At 42.5% G+C, this 8,538-nt stretch overlaps 1 annotated feature.

Annotated features, from left to right (window-relative positions):
- Positions 6,970 to 8,169: an enhancer, noted in NCBI's record as "MED14-independent group 3 enhancer chr9:7433352-7434551 (GRCh37/hg19 assembly coordinates)". NCBI's record gives its function as "activates an origin of replication core promoter dependent on BRD2, BRD4, P300/CBP and CDK7 cofactors, and independent of MED14, by STARR-seq in HCT116 cells {active_cell/tissue: HCT116}" and the evidence as "EXISTENCE:reporter gene assay evidence [ECO:0000049][PMID:35650434]".

Raw genomic sequence — 8,538 nt, 5'->3', positions numbered from 1 at the left:
ATAATGGACATTAGTTCAAAATATATATCACACAATGAAAGACAGTAAGTAGCCCAACCATGAAGGGTATATTCACCAAGATAGCTAAATGTTGCAGTGCTTTAAGAGGCCATTGCAACAATTCCAGCAGGTAGCACTTCCAGAATGGGGTGGTATATTTTAAGATCCGTGGATCCCATGGTGGTAAGGTGCTCATTGTCATACCTTTTTTTCCTGAAAAAATTGGTTGCTTAATCCAAGGTGATGCAGGCTTCTGTGATAATAAATCAAACAATAAGCACATAATCACTCTAGGTCCTCTGACAGGGGTGCCAACTAAGGCAATTGTATGCAAGGAAGGCAAACCCATGCCCAGAACCCATATTAATATAAGAAGAAATGAATTCCAGCCCTTCCAGGTGGAAGGGGTCCAAAGTAATCAACTTGCCATCAAGGAACTAGAAGATTTCCTCAAAGAATGGTAGTACACTAAGAGCTCAGCATTGGTCTCAACTGCTGACATTTTGGAGAGTCTGCAGTGGCAGTTGGATCAGCCTCGGTGAAAAAAAGATCCTTGTTGTTGGGCTCATGGATAACCTCCCTCTCTTTCACCGTGGCTACTTTAATGATGAGTTCATTTTACAAATACTGGTGGCCAAAGACAAAACTTCACTGGCTTCTACTGGGGAAGTCATTGATGTAACCTGGTTGTTTAGGGCCTCCTCTGGTGGGCATCAATAGCAAATACAGAGATTTGCAAATTTTGTCCACAATCATATAGAACTGACTACACATGTCTTCACTACATCAATTCAAGTTGATAGTCAGGTATACTCTGCAAAACTTTGCACAACGGGAGCATTTTCCCTCATCACTGTCTCCTAGGGCCACTCTTTTTTTTTTTTTTTTGAGACGGAGTCTCGCTCTGTCGCCCAGGCCGGACTGCGGACTGCAGTGGCGCAATCTCGGCTCACTGCAAGCTCCGCTTCCCGGGTTCACGCCATTCTCCTGCCTCAGCCTCCCGAGTAGCTGGGACTACAGGCGCCCGCCACCGCGCCCGGCTAATTTTTTGTATTTTTAGTAGAGACGGGGTTTCACCTTGTTAGCCAGGATGGTCTCGATCTCCTGACCTCATGATCCACCCGCCTCGGCCTCCCAAAGTGCTGGGATTACAGGCGTGAGCCACCGCGCCCGGCCCTAGGGCCACTCTTGATTGGGGCTGTAGTGCAGCAACAGTTCATACTACAACCCTTCTGTGATCCAGGCCTGGATACTTCCTCCTCCATCAGTTGGTCATTGTGAACCCCTGGAAGCCATAGGCAAGTGAGCTAAAGAAAAGGCATCAGTACAAAAGAGGTAGGTGTCATGGGAGCCTCAGCAACCTATTCACTCAGCTGTGCCCTGGGGACCTGCTCAGGCCTAAGTCCTGAGTATACTATTTTCATCATACAATGGATTGCTACTGTGTTCTCCCAACTTTACCTCTTAATAGGTCTGATAATATCCAACTCATCACAATGAGCTTCACTTGTATAATCACTTAATGTCCTCCATGAAGCTGAAGAGCATGCCAGGAACTGCATCTCAAACAATGAATACTTTTCTGCTGCAGATGGCATGGCTTTGCTCCAAGGGTCTGTTCTGTGACTCTCCTATTGGGGTTTGCCAGAGACCCTGTCACAGATACCTCTAATAACTTGAGATCTGCTGAGTCATATGGCCCAATCAGCTGTACTGAACTTGTACTGAAAACTGATACTGCTGTAGAAACCTCTCTTTATACTGCATTCAAAACTGGTAGCCTTATGAGTCACAGGATAAATGAGTTGGATATATTCCCAAATGTGGTTGGTGCTATATCCAAAATTTTCATAACAAGTATATGTCTATTTCTTAGTGGTGGGAAGTACAAAGGAAAGTCAATCATAACATGTATCCAGATCCCTGATCCCTAAAAACTTCATCTTTGTGGCAGGCCCCTGCATTTGGTAGGATTTATCTCCCATCCAGCAGTGTGCCTGTGTCTTACAAGAGCATCCAGAATGCTTGCCACTCCCTGTTTCCCAGGCCCAAGTAACATGATACTGTAATAATAAGATGAATATGATAAAACAATATTAAAAATGCCAACAATAATATACCCAAATTTTAATGTACACTTTCATTACCAAACTCTTAGGGAATAGAGTCTAAAAATTAAATTCCCATGAAAGTTAAAACCTCAAGTAATTAAAGTGTCAAATTAAGTTATTTTGCTCTCATGAGTTAGAAGTCCTAAGAAACTGAAGTCCAAATTATTTCTCCCCAATTTCTTCTTTTGGTCAATTCAATTTCAGAGTTCCCAATGCCTGGGTGGAGTTAGGAGCTCTTTAGCAGAGATGTTCTTTAGCACAATGGTCTTGCACTGAAATGCAAGTAGTTTCTTTAGGAAACTACAACTTAACTTACAAAGTTAACTTAATGCAATGGCAAGTCTTTATTGCACCTGAATTCTTAAAGTTTAAGTAGTTAGGCTATGCACTGGTCTTACATCCACCACATTTAGAAGGCAAGCCAGTCCCTCAAGGAATTTGCTCAAGGTCATATAGCTAACTAGTAAGTGGTAGCACCAACAGGCAAACCCTAGGCAGGTGCCCTGAGAGCCTGTGCTCCTAATCATGGTGCACTCCTCACTGGCTTCAGTTTTTCTGAGGTACTGGTTAATCTATGCCAGGTATTCAGAATACGTGATCTATGGGCTTCAGCTCACTTGGACTTTAAATTCATTAAAAGGTTAATTTGGGTACTATATATTTGGCTCTATATATTCACCATATTTTAAAGGGAAAAATACATTGTCTTTTCCCTCAGAGGATAATGCAGTCTTTTTTGAAAAGCAGCAACTACTGTCACCAGATGTTATTTGAGGAAGCTTTCTTTTCCATCTGCTATATTTAAAGCCTTCTAATTTCCCTTTCTCCTTTGAGGTCCTAGATTCTGGCACCCCAAGACTGGATTGAGTACAGGCTCTATCTAGTAACATAGCATTTACATTCTTTTGCAAACAGTCGCTTTCAGTGCTGTACCACAGTGGCTTAAAAAAAAAATCTAACTCTTAATAAAGAATTCCTGAGACCTAAGAAACAAACTCCAAGGTAATGTTTTCCCTTATTCATAATGAGCTAGCCTAGAGTCAACTGGAAACAAAATGGTGTTTGATCACTTTTGACCCTGAATACCAACTGTATCCCTCTCACATCACTCGCCTCACCCCTTACCCATAATTCATAATGGAATTTGGGTCAACCAATCTAATTCTGTCTATGTAGGATATACAAAACTCAGATGACTTTCACTTTACAAGCAGTAAATACTGTACTGCTTCCAATGTGTAAAAAGTCTGTATTTAGAAAGGCATTTTTCCCAATATTGGCCTCAGTTACACCCATGTGGCTTATATTCAAGTGATAGTCTACACACTGAGGACATCCAAGCCTATTAAAAACATCCCCTGACATCAGAGCTGCTGACAGAAAGAATGACATGTACACTTCCTGTGGGAAGCTCCACTTCTGGAGATGAAAGGTCTGGGCTATAAATGCCCAGTTTATCTAATCAATATTGCTAGTTATAGTTAAGTCAGCCCATCTTCACTCCTCCAAGAGAGGTGTCTCCACCAAGGGAGGAGATCCTCCACATGGAAGGAAAGTCTATAATTAGAGAATAAGCATTTTCTCCTATACATGACTAGGAAGATTCCTGCACATAATCTTAGAAAATAAAGTTTTGCTTTTGCTTGAAGATTTAAAGACCATGACATGAAAAAAAGAGTCCTCATGCTCAAAAATAAGTAAGTGAAAACATAGATTAGGTTTAGAATCTATGTGAAGTAGTAGTATATCTTGTCTCTAAATCATACATACATTCCTCCTCTAAGGGCTATTATGAATTCAACCAATTTTTAAGGAAGTCAAAGCAAAAGAGAAGAAATAAAAGGACAATAGTTAGGTCTCCTTTCTTTCTTCCAAAGAGGCAAGGTCCTGGAAAAAACTGATGAAGAAAAGCTTCTGCTGATGAATCCTAAGGTGACATTCATGATCAAACATACTTCCTCAGCATATGAGAATTGCCAACTCCCTCATCCTTTCACTGCTGAAACCACCTTTGCAAAGATTATGATAGTGAGAGGAATCTAGCATGGCTGACTTCATCTTGCTTCTGGTTTATAGGCTGGCCGTCCTCACCCGTTCCTGGGCATAGATCAGGCTAGCCATGAGAAGAATTTAGTTTATAGTTTAAAGCAAGGATAGTAATAGTCCCTCCCAAAACTTAACCCCCTTTGTAAAACTAATGAAAGCCTACAAGATTGGGATTATGAGAGGGGCCTGAATACTGCTAAGATGCAGGCATAGTTAAACTATTACCAGCCATCGTTCAGGAGGTCACAAGACTTGTAAGTTCCCCAGTTACTCCTGTAGGTAGCATCCCTATCGCAGAATCTCAGATTGACCTTTTGAGATGTCTTTGTAGACTTTTGCATTTCTGGTGACTGAGTCCACCCAGACCCACAACTCATTACTCAAGTGGTCCTGTGGTCCCCACCCAGAGGCTGACTCAGCACATAAGGACCATTTTTCCATACCCCTATGATTTCATCCCCAACCAATCAACATTCCCCATTTCCTAGCCCCCTGCCCACCAGGCTATCCTTAAAAAACCCTAACCTTTGAGCTTTCAGGGGAGACTAATGTGAGTGATAACTCTAGTTTCCACACATGGCCAGCCTCATGTTAATTAAACAGTTTCTTTACTATAATTCCATGGTCTCAGTGAACTGGTTTTGTCTATGCAGTGGGCAGGAAGAACTTGTCAGGTGATTATATAGCCCCTTTTGTTGCATGGAAAGTGAAGATATTGATGTTTTCTCTACCTTATCTCATGAGGCTGAGTAAAACTCAAAGCAAAGTAAGGAAGGGCTTTGTAAAGTGTAAAATGAGCCACACATGTTCACTGACATCACTCTTTCCCATGTAAGGGGAAAGTTTGTTTTCTTCATTAGTTGCTTAGTTTGGGTCAGTGTTACTTGATTTCAGGCTGTGCTTACCCATCTGCCCAACCCAGCAAGAATTTCCAATTCATTTCCAAATATAAAGCATTTTGGCCACTGCGATTTTCTACAGTGGATCCTAAACCAGATTTTTCTAATTCTGCCTCTTTTTCTCTTTGCTTGGAGCAGATTTAAGTCTGGATTATCTGTTTGGGTGGCGTCTATGCACAGTTTTGGCTCTATTTTTTTTTTTATCTCATTGGCCATCATTTCAATTTTTCTATTTGTCCCTTTCCTTCACATATAAAAGGCAGTAAAAATAGTAGAAAAGGTAACTACAACTGATTGAGCATTTACCACATGCCAGACATTATGCTAAACACTCTATATAAATTTAATCCTCACAACAGTTCTAAGGGAAGCAAAATTTCTATGATATAGGAGATAATTATGAAAAATTATCAATAATGAGTGAATTGCACATGTACATGTATGTACTCACACACACAAAAAAATTACTAAGGTTTATGGTAGGTATGCAGAGTCCTTGCAAAGAGTCACTAGTACTTCTTTTGTGGAATCCTTTCTTTGTCCCAGGAAAAGCCTCACAAGCTCATAGGCTAAGTTCACACGGCCATCTGACAAGCTTCCTTACTTGGACTAAAAATGATGTCTCACTAAATCCTTGTGATGAGTCCATATTATAGAAATTATCCTTCTCATGTTGTGCATGGGGAAATAGTATTTTAAAAGCTGGCTAAGTGTGAGCCCATTACTCTAAGAAAACAACACAATTTCTCTTGAGGAAACAAATCATTCTTTTATTTGAGAGGCCATGTTTATGAAATGTATAGCTATAGCCTAGTCTGGATTAAGAATAAATAGAGAAAATAATAAATGCTTTTGTTCTGCCTAAGAAGGTAGCAGATATTTCTTCAAAGAGTGAAAGGAAATTTGTGTTTAATTTCGATTTGAAATGCCCATCAGTGATAGACTGGATGAAGAAAATATGGTACATATACACCATGGAATACTACACAGCCATAAAAAGGAATGAGATATGTCCTTTGCAGGGACATGGAGCTGGAAGCTGTTATCTTCAGTGCAAACAAATGCAGGAACAGAAAACCAAACACTGCATGTTCTCACTTATAAGTGGGAGCTGGATGATGAGAACACACAGACACAGTAGTCGGGGAACACACACTGGAGCCTCTCAGTGGGTGTGGGGAGGAGGGAGAGCACCAGGAAGAATAGCTAATGGATGCTGGGCTTAATACCTAGGTGATGGGTTGATCTGTACAGCAAACCACCATGGCATATGTTTACCTATGTAACAAACCTGCACATCCTGCACATGTACCCCGAAACTTAAAAGTTAAAGAAAAAAATTTATTTGATTTGGTTTGGGCTGTTTGGTTTGCTGGGTTACGAGTACAGGTCTTAGAGAAGCAAAAAGCCAGGAACGGGTCCTCAGGGAAGGATGCACCCCAGAGACAAGGAAGCAGATGGTACAGAAAAAAGTTTTCAGTGATTATTTCTTGTGGAAAGGAATAATTGATAAACTGGTGAAACAATGAACATTGATTTTCACATACAGATGTCTCCAATTATGCGTGAAAATCCCCCTCAGTTTTCCACATACATCGAGTAAAAGAATTGTGTCACATACACCAATTCTTGTTTTAGTCGTATCTTGTAGGCATGATAAGGAGTTGAAGAAAATCAAAATATTTTACCCCAAAATACATTTCTTTGACATATTTTAAAATGACTGCCACAGGGCCAGCAGACTCAATTGGCCATGAAATTTTGTGGGGGAAATTTGCATCTGTAAAGAATCTCCATTAATGCAACCAAGACTTCCCTTTCTAGGCCTTTCCCAGATTGAGAATAGATTAACTGAGAGTCTGACATCTTTAAAGTTCTGGAAAAAAAAATTATCATTTATTCTCTCTGAGGGCTGCTACCTGTGAGATTTTACGTACATAACAAGGCCACATTTGCTAGCCAGGCCTCTTTCTTTCTCCATTCCATGACCTGTCTTACCCACTGTTTGTGGCCATTCTCTGAGCCTCCATTCTTTCTGTAACCTGAAAATGGTATATAAGCTTCTGTACCTCATTGGGAGTTGGGTTCTTCATTCTGAAGGCTCTTGTATATACATGTTGCCTGGACCAGCAACCTCAGCTGCCCTACCTGGCATAGATTGTGATATAGCAGGGCTCTTTCTGCTCTACCCCCCAGGCAGATTTCTGGGCATTCAGAGCACCCACTCAGCTTGATCAACAGCCTGACATGCTCCACCCATCCTGTGCCAAGATCCTGGTTCAGAGAAGCCGTCTCTGCTTCATGCCCAGGCAGATCTCCAGGCATTTAGAGCACCCACTCATCTGATTCAGCAGCCCATGCCACCTCACTCTTTCTGGACACAGATCGTGGTGCAATGAGACCCTCTCCACAGCAGCCCAGGCAGATCTGCAGGCATCCAGAACATCCACTCACCTGGATAAGCAGCCCAAGCTGACCCACCCTTCCTGTGCTGAGATACAGGTGCAAGAGGGCCCTCACCAATACACATTCAGGCAGATCTCCAGGCATTCAGAGTGTTTGCTTTCCTTGGTCAGCAGCCTAAGTCACCCCACCCTTCCTGTGTACAGATCTTGTTTTGGGGGCACCTCTCCACTCCATGTGCAGGCAGATTTCCAAGCTTTTCCTACTCACCTAAATCAGCTGCCTGACCCACCCCACCCTTCCTGTGCAGAGATCCTGGCACAGAGAGGCTCTCTCTGGTCAACGCCAAGGCAGATCTTCAGGCATTCAGAGCACCAGGTCTCCTGGATAAGGAGCCTAAGCCACCACACCCTTCCTGTGCAGAGATCCTAGTGAAAGAGGGCCCTCTATGCTACCTACATAGGCAGATCTGCAGGGATTCAGGTCACTTGCTTGCCTTGTTCAGCAGCCTGAATTACCCACCTCTTCTGTGCAAAGATCTTGGTATAGGGGATCCCCTCTGCTCCACACCCAGGCAGATCTACAGCATCTGGAGCACCTACTCACCTGGATGAGTTTAGGCTGCCCCCAATCCCTGTGCAGAGAACTTGGGACTGAGGGGAGTTTCCCAGTTCCATGCCTAGGCACACCTCAGGGCTCTTGGTGGCCACTCACTGGATTCTTCCTCAGTGCTGGTGCTTGTGCCTGCCATTAGCAGACCTGTAGGTGAGACTTTGCAGTCTTGTCCCACCATCTTGCCCCACCGTCTTGCCCCCGACAGCCCCTTCACCCAACATACCAGGGAGCTTAGAGCATTGTGCACTCCATGAATCAGTCCATTGCCTGAGGCAATAGAGAGATTCTCCTGGTAATCAAGAATCAAATATATACCCAGCCATGTTGGCTGCAGCCAGCTTTTACCCATAAGCATCATCTACCAGCTTGTAGCTTGAACCACTTAGCCAAATATAAAACCTGCCAAAGGAAATACAAAGAGATATAAAAGCAAAGCCAAAAGACTCTACTCAGTAAAAGTAGGG

Source organism: Homo sapiens, chromosome 9 (assembly GCF_000001405.40).
Source record: "Homo sapiens chromosome 9, GRCh38.p14 Primary Assembly".
In the NCBI taxonomy this organism is placed as follows: domain Eukaryota; kingdom Metazoa; phylum Chordata; class Mammalia; order Primates; family Hominidae; genus Homo; species Homo sapiens.
Note: the sequence above shows the minus strand (reverse complement) of the source record. Positions and strands in the feature narration are given on the sequence as shown.